This window comes from Homo sapiens, chromosome 20 (genome assembly GCF_000001405.40).
Source record: "Homo sapiens chromosome 20, GRCh38.p14 Primary Assembly".
Taxonomy (NCBI): domain Eukaryota; kingdom Metazoa; phylum Chordata; class Mammalia; order Primates; family Hominidae; genus Homo; species Homo sapiens.
In genome coordinates, this window is record NC_000020.11 from 51,956,728 (window position 1) to 51,974,822 (window position 18,095).

General features: G+C 42.8%; 5 annotated features.

Moving 5' to 3' along the window:
* Nucleotides 237-744: an enhancer, noted in NCBI's record as "H3K27ac hESC enhancer chr20:50573503-50574010 (GRCh37/hg19 assembly coordinates)". NCBI's record gives its function as "activates a minimal SCP1, AML or CMV promoter by ChIP-STARR-seq in primed H9 embryonic stem cells {active_cell/tissue: H9 hESC(primed)}" and the evidence as "EXISTENCE:reporter gene assay evidence [ECO:0000049][PMID:30033119]".
* Nucleotides 3,162-3,996: an enhancer, noted in NCBI's record as "H3K27ac hESC enhancer chr20:50576428-50577262 (GRCh37/hg19 assembly coordinates)". NCBI's record gives its function as "activates a minimal SCP1, AML or CMV promoter by ChIP-STARR-seq in primed H9 embryonic stem cells {active_cell/tissue: H9 hESC(primed)}" and the evidence as "EXISTENCE:reporter gene assay evidence [ECO:0000049][PMID:30033119]".
* Nucleotides 3,997-4,829: an enhancer, noted in NCBI's record as "H3K27ac hESC enhancer chr20:50577263-50578095 (GRCh37/hg19 assembly coordinates)". NCBI's record gives its function as "activates a minimal SCP1, AML or CMV promoter by ChIP-STARR-seq in primed H9 embryonic stem cells {active_cell/tissue: H9 hESC(primed)}" and the evidence as "EXISTENCE:reporter gene assay evidence [ECO:0000049][PMID:30033119]".
* Nucleotides 11,801-12,302: an enhancer, noted in NCBI's record as "H3K27ac hESC enhancer chr20:50585067-50585568 (GRCh37/hg19 assembly coordinates)". NCBI's record gives its function as "activates a minimal SCP1, AML or CMV promoter by ChIP-STARR-seq in naive H9 embryonic stem cells {active_cell/tissue: H9 hESC(naive)}" and the evidence as "EXISTENCE:reporter gene assay evidence [ECO:0000049][PMID:30033119]".
* Nucleotides 12,303-12,802: an enhancer, noted in NCBI's record as "H3K27ac hESC enhancer chr20:50585569-50586068 (GRCh37/hg19 assembly coordinates)". NCBI's record gives its function as "activates a minimal SCP1, AML or CMV promoter by ChIP-STARR-seq in naive H9 embryonic stem cells {active_cell/tissue: H9 hESC(naive)}" and the evidence as "EXISTENCE:reporter gene assay evidence [ECO:0000049][PMID:30033119]".

The window sequence follows — 18,095 nt, forward strand, 5'->3', positions numbered from 1 at the left end:
TACCATAAATTTTTTTTTTTTTTTTTGAGACACAGTCTCGCTCTGTTGCCCAGGCTGGAGTGCAATGGTGCGATCTCTGCTCACTGCAACCTCCGCCTCCCCAGTTCAAACAATTCTCCTGCCTCAGCCTCCTGAGTAGCTGAGATTACAGGCATATGCCACCATGCCCAGCTAATTTTTGTATTTTTAGTAGAGACAAGGTTTCACCATGTTGGTCAGGCTAGTCTCGAACTCTTGACCTCATGATCAACCCACCTCGGCCTATCAAACTGCTGGGATTACAGGCATGAGCCACCGCGCCTGGCCACATACCATAAATTTTTAAGGAAACCTCTCATGGTGACTATTTAGGCATTTCTATTTTTTCTACTATCATAAATAATGTCATAGTATAGATCCCTTTGTATATGCTGATAGGATTTAAACCACTATCATTTTTTTCTTTTTGAGATGGTGTCTCACTCTGTTGCCCAGGCTATAGTGCAGTGGCACCATCTCCCCTCACTGCAACCTCCACCTCCCAGGTTCAAGCAATTCTCCTGCCTCAGCCTCCTGAGTAGCTGGGATTATAGGCATGTGCCAACATGCCCAGCTAATTTTTGTGTTTTTAGTAGAGACGGGGTTTCACCATGTTGGCCAGGATGGTCTTGATCTCTTGACCTCAGGTGATCCGCCTGCCTCAGCCTCCCAATGTGCTGGGATTACAGGCATGAGCCGCCGTGCCCGGCCTCATTTTAAAAATTTTATTTATTTTTCGAGACAGAGTCTCGCTCTGTCGCCCAGGCTGGAATGCAGTGGTGTGATCTTGACTCACTGTAACCTCCACCTCCTGGGTTTAAGCAATTCTCATGCCTCAGCTTGCTGAGTAGACCTGGGATTGTAGGCGCATGCCACCGTGCCTGACTAATTTTTGTATTTTTAATAGAGACGGGGTTTCACCATGTTGGCCAGGCTGGTCTCGAACTCCTGACCTCAGGTGATCCTCCCACCTAGGCCTCCCAAAGTGCTGGGATTATAGGTATGAGCCACTGTGCCCGGCCTACCACTATCATTTTTATAGTAAAATTAATTTAGTAGGCCTATGCCCTGGGCAAAATTTCTTCACTTCGTTGTTGCTTATTTACCAAACGGGTAAATTTTTCTTATTTTTTATTTTTATTTATTAATTTATTTTTTCTTTTGTTGCTAATCATGTTTTTAAAAAAACTCCAATGCTAGTTTCACAGACTTAAGATTCAGATAACTACTTTTAAAAGAATCCTTGTAAATATTACTTCAGTCGAAGTCATTTTTTAGTCAGTAATAAAACTCAGTTTAGGAACCCAAGAACAAAGGCAGAGCCTCAGAATGAATTTACATGTGACCGTTTTCTGAAATCTTACGTCTAAGGAAAAAGTTAGAGACTGACATTTCTAAATCTAATTTATTTTAGGCTTAAGAATATAGATGCATAAGTTTTCCCAGAGACTTAAAGAAATCTTTATTGATAACAGAGAGAATGAAACAAAAGTAATAAATCACCAGAGAGGACCAGCTCACAAAAATACCTGAATGAAGGCACGTATTGCATCATTGTTGGCAATCGTGAAAAATTTGAAAAACCTTAAATGGCCACTAAAAGAGAAGTGGTTGTATATATCATGATATATCCATCCATGGACTACTATGTATAAATAAAAAAGAATGAGGCGGACTTATATGTATCAGTTTGGAAAGACTGGCAAGTCTAATAGCTGAGTGAGATAAAAGAAGTACATGATTGTCATTATGGTATGACAGCATTAATTAAAAAAAAACCACGGCAATATATGTGTATAGATATGCATTTTTGCATGTATGTGTGTAGATATGTGCATTTATGGATGTAAATTCCTGCAAGAGACACAGAAGACACACACACATCCTAGCAAGAGGGGAGTGGCCTAATGTTAGAAACAGAGAAACAGTGCAAGAGACATTTAGATTTACTTTGCAAACTCTCAGTGTCGACTCTTTTACAGATATGCACGGCTGGTGTTATTAAGTATATTTTCAAGCACAAAGGAACCAGAGGTCGATGGTGAAATCAGATGCTTTCAATGGAAACATATTTCATTCTTCTAAAAATAACTTTGGTGATTCGGAATCCATCCTTAATCGTAGCAGCCAGCCCATTTTTGTGGCTCTTTCATTTCCCCCAGAAAAAAAAAAAGTGTATAAACACAGCAGGATATAAATGCATGCATCTGGAGAAGATGAACTTTTACACTAGTTCTGCCTTTTCAGCTTTCTAAAATGTGGACCTTACCAATTTCTTTGACCTCCCCCTCCTTTTTTTCCATTCCAATGCATGGCGGTGACAAGGCATTGAATTACCAGTTTGTCACTAACGCCATAGGCTTTATTATTCCTTTGAACAGAAGCTGGGCTTAAAAAGAAAAGTTTTTCTTAATAAGTAGCTGTTCATCCTTTGATATGCACATCTGGATCTGTGGTCTTATCTGCGGCATGCTAATGCTGCTTCCTGCAGATAATGATAAAGGAACAACTCAAAATAACAAAAAAGGAATAAAATGTGCCAGATGCCTAAAAAATAAGGAGGACAATGCAAATAAAAGCAACTGGTTTTTCTATTCTGGAGAATAAACTCTACCCACAATTGAAGTAATCATTTTGGTGGTTACTTGATACACACTTTTTTTTTTAAGAGATTAGGAAGGAAAAAAAAAAAGCAAACATCAGCTGACAAGCACTGCCACATTCTGTTAGAAATTAAGAGGGAAATAAACCTAAGTACGCTATAAATCACTTTGGGGTTTAATTTTGCTTCTACCCTGCTACATCGTTTCTTCTGTTTCTTCTTTTTTCTTCATTTGGCTGTGGCTTAAACATTGTTAATTAAAAGCCAAACTGAAAGATTTTGACTCATACATTTTTTAGGAATATAAAATATTTCAAATATACAGAAAAGTACCAGGAATACCGTAAGGAACATTCGTGTATCTACCATCAGGGTTTAACAATTTTTCTATTTTTCCTTCCTGTTCATTTTTAAAGAATACATTTCCTTCATTCTGAGTTTTTTCAAATGTGATTTTTCTTGATTTCTGTATCACCTTTGTTCACTAAAAGAAGGTGTTCTTCTTATAAAAATATGATTTTCTCAGTTTTAGTCAAGTTTCTCAAAGGAGCTTTCTTTCCCTGCTCTGTGTAAATGGGTCTTGTTTTGAAAGTTAGATTAGCGTTAAGACGTAAGAGTGAAATTGTTATATAATACATATATGATTTCTAGATATTATGTATGATTTCTGTCTAGGTGATCTTTGTTCTTTATGACTTCTTTTCACAAGAGGCAACGATAAACCTGCTTTGTCAATACGTGCATAGACCTTCAGTAGTTCTGAGGCTGATTGTAACTGGTATTTTAATAGGCAAATAAAAACTTCTGCTTTACATAAATTGCTCTATAAACTGGGAGCTGAGGATTGTGAGGAGGGCGAAAAGGCCATGGTGCCCTCTCTACCGCTGCACAAACCCAGATTGTGTGTGGTTGGGATCCCTTGGTAGCCCAACCAGATAAGAGTCATGAATTGATTCCACATTAGCATGCAGCAGGCATGGGAAAATGATAAACTCCTATTACCACTGTCATGGCAACTGAAAAAATGGCTGCTTTGGGGGGAACAAGGTCCACAGGAGAAGAAAAGCGAAGCCCCGTCTCTTTCTTCTGTTTGACATCTGTTGTTTAACATACAAAATTGTATTATCGTGACGCAAGCGAGTCAGCCAGGGCTAAAGCCTGGCTAGGAATTGTCAAAACCATACTGCCCCAACTCCCATTCCCCTCTCTCTACCATGAGAGTATATAATTTGACCCCGGACATTTCCACGAAGGGCAGTAAATTCCCCTCCCTTTTCATCCCAGGTACAAAAAGCGTGAAGTGCCTTGGGAAGGTGGAATAGAGGGAGGAGGGTCTTTTTGGGGGGTAGTGGAGAAGGGAGACATGCTATCAATTATGAAGCAAAAATAAAGCTCTTCTCCGTTTGCAGTTGCTTCTCTAAATGATTCATTCCTCCCTCCTCCCTTCCCCCAACCTTCCCTCAAGAACATTTTAGATTTTTCTTTTATTTATTTATTTATTTATTTTTGAGACAGAGTCTCACTCTGTCACCCAGGCTGGAGTGCAATGGCCCAGTCTCGGCTCAGTGCAACCTCCGCCTCCCAGGTTCAAGCGATTCTCCTGCCTCAGCCTCCCTAGTATCTGGGATTACAGGCACATGACTGGCTGATTTTTGTATTTTTAGTAGAGATGGGGTTTCACCATGTTGGCCAGGCTGGTCTCAAACTCCTGACCTTGTGATCCGCCCACCTCAGCCTCCCAAAGTGCTGGGATTACAGGCGTGAGTCATCGCAGCCAGCCCTAGATTTTTCTAAAACAGCAATTTGAGCGGGGCTTGTGAACACAGACAAAACATGAGCAGATAGGCTACAAGCAGGGATGGCAGCCTTAGGCGCAGGGCTGAAGGTTGAAAATCCTGATTGCAGGTCATTGAGAAAAGGCTAGAAGGAAACACACCTGAGTGCTAACCAGGAGTTGGACAAGAGGTGGATTTTTATTTCCTTCTTAATATAGCCCTTTTCAAAATGTTTAATAAAGTACCTGTGTCAGTCACTCTCATACTCAGCAGAAATATCCAATAAGCTTTCGGAGGTCCAGGAATGGGTCTCAAAGGAGCTTTCAAAGGGTCTCAAAGATCTCAAAGTTTCTCTCAAAGGAGGATTGAGGTGTAGATGCTCACACAAAAATTCTGTTCGGCAAATTTCCATATGATCCAAACATATCACTTGAAGCAAATCCTTTGCATATAAATATAAATATATACAAATTTATTTGTATATTATATATAATATTTATATATCATGCATTATATTTATACATTATATATTATATTATATTATATTTATATATTTATATTATATATTATATATTATATTTATATATTTATAATATATAATATATAATATATAATATATTATATTATATTTATATATTTTATATTATATATTATATATTATATATTATATTTATATATTATATTTATATATTATATATTATATTTATATATTATATATATTTATATAGTATATACATATTATAGATTTATATTATATATAAATTTATATATTTCATGAAATTTATATAAATATATAAATATAAATAAATATATATATTTCATGAGGACATTTAAATGAGTGACTTTCAAACACGCTTCACTTCCCACCTCCCCACAGTTGTGTAACCAGAACAAACCTAGTACCATTTTGGGTTGTTTTCACAACACAGCCTTTAAACAGCTGTGAAAGATTGGGGCCATCCTAAAATGGACTAAATTGTAATTTCCAGTAAGAGTGAGATTAAGCCCCTTGATAGGACAAGATCAGATAAGTGCAAACAAAAGCAAGAACATTTATATAATCAATCTCGGCCATTAGCAAAGTTAGCATTTTAAGGTGGTAAAACAAAAAAGGAACCTCTTGGCCAAACCCGCACCCCATGTGCAGTTTGGAACTTCCCAGTTTAAAGACTATCATCTTTAAATAGGATCCTATCGAATGGGCAGGCTTTGAGGGGATGCAGAAGCAAAACCAGTGGAAAAGGTCAGAACTGCTCTGTTTGTTTTTCCAAATTGTCGGAGTAAAGTTACAATATGCCACCTGGGTAAGCCTACTAGCTAAATATCCAGATAATGTACACAGTAACCACAGGGATTTCTCGGACAGATTGGAAACGTTGGAGGAGGAATTTGCTTGGGGGAAGGGAACTAGACGAACCTGGGTTAAGCCCTCCCTAAGCATGGAGGGGTTGCTCAGTGCCTGACATGAAAAACGGTCTTATTTTTAATCCTCAGGACATCTCTTTGAGGAAGGTATTATTATTCCCAGAATAATAATAGGGGATGGGGGATGGCTCGTGTGACTTGCCCCTGGCATTTTCCTTCATGGATATTCCCGTATCTGATCATTTCTGCTTGTGTTTGAGCTTTCAGTTTCATCAGCATAATCTTTGTCGGAAGGCGGGAGTTTTACATTTGCAATTCTAGATTTTTCTTTCTGCTGGCGTTCCGGCAGACCACTACTGTTTGTTATATATCTACTTCACATCAAATAAGTCAAGCCGTAGAAAAAGTCCTGGGAGGTTTCCTGGGGTGTGGGTGTGGGGCCTCTGTGATATTTCTCTTTGCAGTTTAAGATTTTGAAAGGCAGAGGGTCTGAGGGGCAAGGGGAGAAAGTCCCCCCAGAGAGCGGTTTCTTTTTTCTTTCTTTTTTTTTTGGAGATGGAGTTTTGCTCTTGTTGCCCAGGCTGGAGTGCAGCCGCGCGATCTCAGTTCGCTGCAACCTCCACTTCCTGGGTTCAAGCGATTCTCCTGCCTCAGCCTCCCAAGTAGCTGGGATTACAGGCATGTACCACCATGCCTGGCTAATTTTTGTATTTTTAGTAGAGATGGGGTTTCACCATGTTGGCCAGGCTGGTCTTGAACTCTTGACCTCAGGTGATCTGCCCATCTCGGCCTCCCAAAGTGCTGGGATTACAATCATGAGCCGTTGCAGCTGGCACAAAGAGCCTTTTCAATTCAAATCCTCACCCACCTTCTCCCTAGTCTTTTCACTGGATGTCTGGGGGCTCACACCTGCTCTCTGACACTCCCATAATAAAGTTACTACCAAGGCCAACTATGGATCAGACTCACCTGGTGAATTTTCAGAAAACAGATATTTGCTTCCAATTTACATACAGGCTCAGATCCTGAAGGTCTAGTAATTAGACTCATTGCAAAAGTGCCCTCCGCTGATTCTCAAAATCAGAAATAACTATGAATGCATAGGAACACATACAAATTTAAAGTTATGAGAATCACTAATACATAGAAAACAATTTCAGATTTGATTACTGGCCAGGTCCACAGCTCAGCGTAAATGTCACCTGTTTAAAGAGATCTTCACCATCATCTTCCAAATTCTAGCCCTTTTAATAGCATAGAGTGGATATCATTTATCTGTGCATTCATCATTTGCTTCTCCCCAACAGAATGTTAGCTGCCTAAGAGCCAGAGTCTTTTCCACCCTCTTCTCGGTCAAGTTCAAAGTGTCTAGGTTAGTGTCTACACATCGCAGGTATTCAGTTTCTGCTGGGTGGGTGCATGAGTGAACAAATTTTTTTTTTTTTTTTTTTTTTGAGACAGAATCTTGCTCTATCACCCAGGCTGGAGTGCAGTGGTGCCATCTCGGCTCACTGCAGCCTCTGCCTCCTGGGTTTGAGCAATTCTAGTGCCTCAGCCTCCGGACTAGCTGGGACTACAGGCACCCGCCACCACGCCCAGCTAATTTTTGTATTTTTAGTAGATGGGGTTTCACCATGTCGGCCAGGCTGGTCTTGAACTACTGACCTCAAGTGATCCGCCTGCCTAGGCCTCCCAAAGTGCTGGGATTACAGGTGTGAGCCACTGTGTCTGGCCTGAACGAATGATTTGATTAGAAAAGGTTCAGTCAGCTAAGAGATACCCTAGCATTTATCTGATCTGGCCTCCTTGTTTAAGAAATCCTGGGAGGCAGGACAGAAAGCCAACCTGGCTAGCTGAGGTCACCATTCCTGGGCTTCTCATCATACCTGCCACAGTGGCCACTGTGAACAACTTTCTTCTCCTCTGACACCTGGGATTTTTTGTTTCAAATACTCAAAGGTGTGTATTACAGTATTGTTAATGGTAGCAAACACAAAAACAAAACCAACAAAAAACCTCTAGAAACAAAAGGAAAGAATCCTGACACATTCACACCATGGAATATTATATAGATATTAAGTAAAATGAGATAAAACTGGAAAAATTGTCTTAAAGGAATTTCCATTAAGTATTGTTGAGGGAGGAGAGAGGCTGGGTAAGAGGTAGGATTATTATGATAGAAAGGGAAAAGTTGGTAGAATTTTTTTTAAAAAAGAAGAAAATTAAATAATGGTGGTATTTTAAAAATATGTATGATATATCCACTTTATGTATCTATGAAAATTGCACAATTAAACATGCTTGTATGTAAGCAGAAGTTTTCTTTTTTAAAAAATGTGGGATGGCTGGGTGTGGTGGCTCACGCATGTAATCCCAGCACTTTGGGAAGCTGAGGTGGGTGGATAACCTGAAGTCAGGAGTTTGAGACCAGCCTGACCAACATGGTGAAACTCCATCTCTACTAAAAATACAAAATTAGCTGGGCATGGTGGTGCTTGCCTGTAATCCCAGCTACTTGGAAGGCTGAGGCAGGAGAATTGCTTGAACCCGGGAGGCAGAGGTTGCAGTGAGCCGAGATGGAGCCATTGCACTGAAGCCTGGGTGACAAGAGTGAAACTCCGTCTCAAAAACAAAAACAAAAAAAGCAAGATGCACCTACAGTGATAAAAAGGATAATGTATAGCTTCAAATGTAGGAAAGAAGGATTAAAAATAAATAAGCTGCCGGGCACAGTGGCTCACGCCTGTAATCCCAGCACTTTGGGAGGCCGAGGCGGGCAGATCATGAGGTCAGGAGATCGAGACCACAGTGAAAGCCCGTCACTACTAAAAAATACAAAAAATTAGCTGGGCGTGGTGGCGGGCACCTGTAGTCCCTGCTACTCAGGAGGCTGAGGCAGGAGAATGGCATGAACCTGGAAGGCAGAGCTTGCAGTGAGCCGAGATCGCGCCACTGCACTCCAGCCTGGGTGACAGAGCAAGACTCTGTCTCAAAAAAAAAAATAAAAAATAAAATAAATAAGCTAACATTTACTTCAAAATGCAGTAAGAAGAAAAACAGGGTCAAATATAAAGAAAGATGGAAATAAAAGGAAATAACCATCTGAAAAAAATTTAAACAGAAAATGTCCTAAAGCTAATATGAAACGTTCGGCCAGGTGCGGTGGTTCATGCCTGTAATCCCAGCACTTTGGGAGACTGAGGCTGGCACATCACTTTAGGTCAGGAGTTTGAGATTAGCCTGACTGAGATGATAAAACCCCATCTCTACTAAAACTACAAAAATTAACCAGGTGTGGTGGCACATGCCTGTATTCCCAGCTACTCGGGAGGCTGAGGCAGGAGGATCGCTTGAACCTGGGAGTTGTTGCAGTGAGCGGAGATCGTGCCACTGCATTCCAGCCTGGGCGACAGAGTGAGACTCCGTCTCAAAAAAAAGCTAATATGAAATGTTAACAGTTGTGGCTGGGCGCGGTGGCTCGCGCCTGTAATCCTAGTACTTTGGGAGGCCGAGACGGGTGGATTGCCTGAGCTCAGGAGTTTGAGACCAGCCTGGGCAACACAGGGAAGCCCTGTCTCTACTAAAATACAAAAAATTAGCCGGGCATGGCGGTGTGCGCCTGTAATTCCAGCCACTCAGGAGGCTGAGGCAGGAGAATTGCTAGAAGTTGGGAGGCGGAGGTTGCAGTGAGCTGAGATTGTGCCACTGCACTCCAGCCTGGGCAACAGAGCGAGACTCCATCTCAAAAAAAAAAGAAATGTTAACAGTTGTTATTTTAAAAGAAGGTTACAAAGCTGCTCATTGTATTTTTTTTTCTACTTTCTGTATTTTTAAACTTTCCTGTTAGAAAATTATACATCAAAAGTAAAGTGTCCCCATGAGGTCATTCTGTCCCCAGGAGTGGGAGGCTTGCCAGGCCTCTGGGTGGGGTGATGCCGTGCTCCTCCCAACCTTGATGCCAGGACTTCCTAACCAGGGGACACCTCATTTCGGTTCTGGTCAGCCTGGCTTTACTTCTCTCCTTACTGCCCCCTTATGGTAGCCATTTGCCAGGGTTTTGTCTTCCTTGGTTATGTCCCTAGCTAAGAGTGTTCTGGAGCCTTGATGTGGATCTTGTGTAGAGGATGAAAGCTAAAAAGTCAGGGAGCCACTTAAGGCATCCCTGGCCTGGGGAAAGGAGCCTTCCTTCTTCCCATTTCCCTTGTCAATGATGCCGGCTCCGTGGATTCTACTCCCATACTTGGGTAGATAATCTGGAAGTCTACTCCTCATCTTTTATGCAGGTTTTAGTTCTGGATAGTTCTTCAATCCTGTCCACTTCCCACTCCCACCCCCAAACGGTGCACTATGTATGAGCCATGCAGTAGGTACCCCGCATAAAGGGAAACTCGCACCTCCCTTCCTCACAGACTCCCATGGCGGGGAAGCTGGACTTGGCACAGGTGGAGTCCTGGGGAGTAAGTTCTTGGGCTGGCATGTTCATCATCTCACTGGTGGGCTCACCTTGGGCAAATGACAATTTCTCTAAGACTCAGTTTCTTCTTGCAGAAAACTAGGACCACAAACTGGGTATACATTAAGTAGATAATGAGTGTTTGGACTTTTGTTTACTGTGTATCTTTCCCAGTTTGTCTGGAGGGCATAGTCTTTCATGGTTTCGTTCAGCATGGTTTTCTTAGAGCGTTTATGCATGCCTGTCACATGTAGGCATTCTGGAAATATTTGTTGAATGAAGTACTTTTGCTTTGTAGTTTTACTTTAAATCTTCCCTTACTTCTCTTGGAGATTTTTTTTTTTTTTTTTTTTTTTTTTTTTGTGACGGACTTTCGCTCTTTTTTTTTTTTTTTTTTTTTTGAGACGGAGTCTCGCTGTCGCCCAGGCTGGAGTGCAGTGGCGCAATCTCGGCTCACTGCAGGCTCCGCCCCCTGGGGTTCACGCCATTCTCCTGCCTCAGCCTCCCGAGTAGCTGGGACTACAGGCGCCCGCCACCTCGCCCGGCTATTTTTTTGTATTTTTAGTAGAGACGGGGTTTCACCGTGTTAGCCAGGATGGTCTCGATCTCCTGACCTCGTGATCCACCCGCCTCGGCCTCCCAAAGTGCTGGGATTACAGGCGTGAGCCACCGCGCCCGGCCCGGACTTTCGCTCTTGTTGCCCAGGCTGGAGTGCAATGGCGCGATCGATCTCAGCTCACCAAAACCTCCACCTCCCAGGTTCAAGCGATTCTCCTGCCTCAGCCTCCTGAGTAGCTGGGATTACAGGCATGCGCCACCATGCCAGGCTAATTTTGTATTTTTAGTAGAGCCTGGGTTTCTCCCTGTTGATCAGGCTGGTCTCGAACTCCTGACCTCAGGTGATCTGCCCGCCTCGGCCTCTCGGCCTCCCAAAGTATTGGGATTACAGGTGTGAGCCACCATGCCCAGCCTAGGAGGAGATATTTTTAAGGGTTTAAAGAACATACCTAGACATAGAATTGTTGGGTCGTGGGAAATTCACACCTTCAGCTTCAACTAGATATCACCAATTGTTCTCCAAAGAGGTCTGCCAATTTCTACTCCCAAATAGCAGTTTATAAGGGTTTCCTTCTGTTCACGTTCTCTCTAGAACCTGGTACTTTCGGATTTTAACTGCTATGCCATCCTGATGGGAATGAAATGCTTTTTCTTTAAAGGGAAGAATGAAAATGGCAGGTCCACTTTAGGCTATACGACATATTGAACAATTTTAATTTTACTGTTACTGGATATTTACATTTTAGTTATCCCAGATCTCAGCTCCGATGTCTCTTCTGGGGAGGACTTTGCTGAATCCCTATATAAGTTGGTTTTCCCTTCAGTCACTGACTATCCCATCTGTCTATTTCCCTTCCCTTCTGTCTATTTCCCTTCCCAAGCACAGAAGTCGGAAAGCATCTTTTGGATTGTACTTGTTTACTGCTTTCTCTCCCAGGAGACTTTAAGCGCCCTTGCCTGTCTTGTTCACCACTGCACCTCCAGGCCTAGCACAGAGCCTGGTACAGGACAAGAATGTACAAAATATATAGAGAATAAATGAAAGAGTGTATGGACTTATTGAAAAGCAGAAGCCAGTGGACTAATTCAACACTGGACTCACTAAAATGAATCTTGACAGTTATAGGCAAGTGCTACTGTCAGATACTCTTCCTTTGTTTTGCCCTTCTTACCTTTGAGCCAGAGGTTTTGTTTTTTTTTTTCAGTTTTTTGTTTTGAGACGGAGTCTCAAACTGCACTGCACTGTCGCCCAGGCTGGAGTGCAGTGGCGCGATCTTGGCTCACAGGTGCCTGCCACCATGCCCAGCTGATTTTTTTGTATTTTTAGTAGAGATGGGGTTTCATCGTGTTAGCCAGGATGGTCTCAATCTCCTGACCTTGTGATCTGCCCGCCTTGGCCTCCCAGAGTGCTGGGATTACAGGCATGAGCCACTGCACCAGGCGTGTTTTGTTTTTGAGACAGGGCCTCACTCTGTCGCTCAAGTTGGAGTGCAGTGGCACGATATCGGCTCACTGCAGCCTCGACCTCCTGGGCTTAAGCGATCCTCCCACCTCAGCCTCCTAAGTAGCTGGGACCACAGGCATGTGCTACCACGCCCAGCTGATTTTTTTTCTTTCTTTTCTTTTTTATTTTGCAGAGATGGCGTGTCACTATGTTAACCAGGCTGGTCTTGAACTCCTGAGCTCGCGTGATCCTCCTACCTTGGCCTGCCAAAGTGCTGGGATTACAGGTGTGAGCCACCACACCTGGCCTGAGCCAGAGGTTTTATAATTCACTTAACAAGTGTTTTTGATCACCCCCCGTGTGCCAGTGACTGTGCCATGGAACTACTCATGGAATGAAGGCAAAATTACAGGTCTGCAGTTTTGCTGAGAGTGGCCTTGGGTGACTCAACTCAGAATGAGACATGAAATCTGGCATAAATAATCTCTTCAAAAGAAAAAAACACTTCTTGGCCGGGAGTGGTGGCTCATGCCTTTAATCCCAGCACTTTGGGTGGCTGAGGAGGGCGGATCAAGGTTGGGAGTTCGAGACCAGCCTGACCAACATGGAGAAACCCCGTCTCTACTGAAAATACAAAATTAGCCAGACATGGTGGTGCACGCCTGTAATCCCAGCTACTCGGGAGGCTGAGGCAGGAGAATCACTTGAACCAGGGAGGTGGAGGCTGCGGTGAGCCAATATCATGGCATTGCACTCCAGCCTGGGCAACAAGAGCGAAACTCCGTCCCGCCCCCCCGCAAAAAAAAAAGAAAAAGAAAAAGAAAAAAAACACTTTTCTCATAGAGGAGTAGTAGTGATGGTGATAATAAGGAAAGTCAACATTTATCAGGGGCTTACTGCATGCCAGGCATGGAACTAGTTGCTTTGCATGAATTATATATTTAATAATTAGAAAAACCTACAGCATGGTTATTCAAGTGCAGTCACCAATAGATGCATTGAATCTACCTGATTTCTACCAGTTGTGTGGAGAGAAAACGGAGACAGAGAAAAAGAAGACTGATTTAAATTATCTGGGCCACCATGTGCACTCTTGCAGGTAAGAGACGAGGCACACGTGCATTTTCTGGTCTTGAGCTCTGTCCAGTCCCTGATGGTGATACTATAATAGAAAAGATATGCAAGGTCATTTTTGACCATACTCAAAATTTTCCTCTATACACTGGCTTTTAGAATGAACTCCTTTGAAAACAAAGGCTTAGAGGGGGCTAAATGTCTTCTATAGCAGAGTCACACACCTGGAGGAGCAGAGGCAACCACTATGGGGACCCAGAGGCTTTGATCCTAACCTGTCTCCTAAATTTAACACCTCACTAGGTTTTACTTCTTCAATACAGGTTCATGCTATGAGCACTTTACTGCATCATTTATTATTGTCTGTTATATAAATTTCTTCCAAAGAGCGCAGAGCTCAGTGAACATCAGGAGAAATGCTGAAGATCGCAGTAAAGTTCCTTTCATGGGAAGCCTTTTAAATTATAACTTTAGCCAGACTGACTTAGATAGGTTGGATGCTCTGTTTGGAGACAGGGACAGAAATCTGAAAGTTTATCCCAAACCCAGGATTCTGTGATCATCTCACTGTTTCCCAAACTTTCGTTTTTTCTTTCTTTTTTTTTTTTTTTTCAGATGGAGTTTTGCTCTGTCACCCAGGCTGGAGTGCAATGGCATAATCTTTACTCAGTGCAACCTCTGCCTCCTACATTCAAGCAATTCTCCTGCCTCAGCCTCCCAAACAGCTGGAATTACAGGTGTGCACCACCACGCCTGGCTAATTTTTGTATTCTTAGTAGAGACGGGGTTTCACCATGTTGGCCAGGCTGGTCTCAAACTCCTGACCTCAAGTGATCCACCCGTCTCGGCCACCCCAAGTGCTGGGATTACAGGCCTGAGCCACCTCGCCTGGCCTCCCAAACTTGCTTGATCACGGAAAACACTCACTAAAAAACAAAAACAAAAGATAACCACACAATGAAACAAGAAAACATAGTCCCTGGCACATAGTAGGCGCATGATATTTTTTGAATGATCGAGGTAAAATTGCGAAATTGCCAATCGAAGAACAAAATGTAAAGTCTGATTTGTTGCTAACAGCTTCCCAAAACTACGTTTCTGTCTTTCCATGTGCTTATACACACGCACATCCTCATGCTTTTTAATATGTAAGTTTGTAAAATCATAGGTAAAAACTTTTGTTTGTTTTTGTTGTTTGAGATGGACTCTCGCTCTGCCACCCAGGCTAGAGTGCAGTGGTGCGATCTCAGCTCACTGTAACCTCCGCTTCCCGGGCTCAAGCAATTCTGCTGCCTCAGCCTCCTGAGTAGCTAGGGTTACAGGCGTGTGCCAACATGCCCAGCTAATTTTTGTATTTTTAGTAGAGACAAGGTTTCACCACGTTGGCCAGGCTAGTCTCGAACTCCTGACCTCGTGATCTGGCCACCTCAGCCTCCTAAAGCGCTGGGATTACAGGCGTGAGCCACCGCACCTGGCCCATAGGTAAAATCTTAAAAGTGTTTGACAAACTGTTTAAAGTGTCTTTCTTTGGGGAGAGAAAATATTTCCTCCTATTGTGCTTAAATTTTAATAATTTAGTTACAGAAATGCAATAGATTTAATTTTAATAATTGTTAATAATTTGATAATTATAATGATGTGATACATTTAATCATTTTAATAGCTTGAAAAAATAAGCGTGGCAAGTAAGAGCGATGATCTCTTTTTTATAACTATTTACCACTGATTTTCTTTTTCAAAACAAATTTGAGAAATAGTCACGCAATGCCTGTCTGATACAAGGCTCAGTGCTACGTCTGCTCAGGACTCAGTCCTCAAGCCCACGTCTGCCCTGGAGCACTTATGTTTTGACCAAGGACATATGCTATTCCTGTGTGACATCTTGACAATATGAGATGGACATTACAGCTCAGGATGACAACAAAAAGTAAGTCCGGATTACTGCCGTGAGGGATGTGGGGGAATGGCAGCCAGGTGGTCTGTAGAGAGAGGTTGGGAAGGCTGGCAGAAAAGACAAGGATTAAAAAAGACTTAGCCCAATAATCCAAAAGAAAAATGAGCAAAGATTCCCAGGAAAGGAAATCCGAGCAGCCCTTAGACATAGGAAAAGATGCCCATCCTTGCTAAGGGGAGAGAAAGACAAGTGGAAACCACGGGGCTGTATCGTTGTCCATGTGCAGTGGCCTGGCAGAGAAAACCACATGTGCATGTACCCTGTGAGGGCGAGGCCGTGGGACACAGGCAGGCTCCCTACATAGTAGGTATGATTGTCAACTGCCATAGTCTCCTGGGAAGGGAATTTGGCAGTGAGACCAAAATGAGACACGCCCATATTCTCAGACATAGAAATTCCAATTCTGGATTTCTCCTCTGGTGCACTTGCATGGGGTTGAAATGATATCTGCACAAAGCTAGCCATTGAAACATTATTTGTAGGAGCAAAAAGATTAAGTTGTGGAGCTGAGAACAAACTAAATGTCCATTAAAAGGGGACTGTTTCAATCAGTTACAGTAGAGAGATACAATGCAATATTCTGTGGCTAATAAAAGTCTAACATTGAAGCCGGTTGTGGTGGCTCACACCTGTAATCACAGCACTTTGGGAGGCCGAGGTGGGTGGATCACCTGAGGTCAGGAGTTCGAGACCAACCTGGCCAACATCATGAAACCCTGTCTCTACTAAAAGTACAAAAAAATTAGCCAGGCATGGTGGCGCCCGCCTGTAATTCCAGCTACTTGGGAGGCTGAGGCAAGAGAATCTCTTGAACCCGGGAGGCAGCGGTTGCAGTGAGCCAGCCTGGGAGATAGAGTGAGACTCAGTCTCAGGAAAAAAAAAAAAAAAAAAAGGAGTCTAACATTGGCTAGGTGCAATGGCGCACGCCTGCAATTTCAGCACTTTGTGAGGCTGAGGTGGGAGGATCACTTGAGCCCAAGAGTTTGAGGCCAGCCTGGGCAACGAGGTGTAACCCAGTCTCTACTAAAAATACAAAAATTAGCCAGCTGTAGTGGCACATGCCTGCAGTCCCAGCTACCTGGGAGGCTGAGGTGGGAGGACTGCTTGAGCCCAGGAGGGTGTGGCTGCAGCAAGCCATGACTGCCCCACTGTACTCAGCCTGAGCAACAGAGTGAGACCTTGTCTTAAAAAAAAAAAGAAACAAAAAAGTCTAACAGTTGAGTGTGCTGGGCATTATTTTATTTTAAGTCTTGTGTGTTTCATTACTCAATTATCTCATGAATGCTGAAGTAGATATTTGGGTATATTGTCACCTTCACTTCACAGATGAGGAAACTGAGGTACAAAAAAGGGTAGTAATTTGCCCAATGATACACAGCTAATAAGTAGCAGGGTCAGTCTTAGGTGAGAAAAATCACAGTGTAGAACAGTGTGTATAGCATGCTCCCATACTGAGTACAAAAGACAGTAAAAGAGGCCAGGCGCAGTGGCTCACGCCTGTAATCCCAGCACTTTGGGAGGCCAAGGCGGGTGGATCATGAGGTCAAGAGATCGAGACCATCCTGGCCAACATGGTGAAACCCCGTCTCTACTAAAAATACAAAAAATTAGCCGGGTGTGGTGGTGGGCGCCTGTAGTCTCAGCTACTCAGGAGGCTGAGGCAGGACAATCACTTGAACCTGGGAGGCGGAGGTTGCAGTGAGCCAAGATTGCACCACTGCACTCCAGCCTGGTGACAGAGTGAGACTCCGTCTCAAAAAAAAAAAAAAAAAGGCAGTAAAAGATAGGGCTGAGCACAGTGGCTAATGCCTGTAATCCTAGCACTTTGGGAGGCCGAGGTGGGCAGACTGCTTGAGCCTGGAAGTTTGAGACCAGACTGGGCAACATAGCGAAACTATGTCTCTACAAAAAACCCCACAAAACAAACAAACAAACAAAAAATATGGTGGGCATGGTGGTGTGCACCTGTGGTCCCAGCTACTTGGGAGACTGAGGTGTGAAGATCACCTGAGTCCAGGGAGTTTGAGGCTGCATTGAGCTGTGATTGTGCCACTGCACTCCAGCCTGGCCAACAGAGTGAGACCCCATCTAAAAAAAAATTTAGAAAAGAGCAAAAAAAAAAATATATATATATATTTTTTTCATATATATAAAAACATATATATTTTTTCATATATATAAACATATATATTTTTCATATATATATAAACATATATATAAACATATATGTATGTGTATGGATATATATATGTGTGTGTACGGATATGCATGTATGTTTATATATGCTCGTATTGGTTTAGAATATCTTTGGATGGAGACAGGAGAATCTGAGAGTCTATGAACTGTGGGTGCCTCTGGCGACAGAAATTCAGTGCACGGAAGACAAGGGAGGGAGCAAGATTTCCTTTACGCTACATAGAATTCTATACCTGCTAAACTTTTGCACCATAGATATGTGATATCTATCAACACCTTTAAATCCTTCTTTCTTTTTTTGCATCCCATCCCCAACAGCTTTAAATCTATAATTTAAAAAAAATTAAAAATGTAATGGGAGGGAGCTTCAGGTCCATCTTACAGGCCGTCTCTTAGCTTGTAATGTCCAATAGGAAAACCACTAGTTTCCATCTTTCCAATATGGAAACACAGCCACTGAGCAGCTGAAATGTGCCATATCCGGATTGAGGTGTGCTGAGGCTGGAGGCTGCAGGCAGTGACTCACACCTGTAATCCCAGAACTTGGGGAAACCAAGGCAGGTGGATCACTTGAGCTCAGGAGTTCGAGACCAGCCTGGGCAACATGGTGAAACCCCGTCTCTACTAAAACTACAAAAAAAAAAAAAATCGCCAGG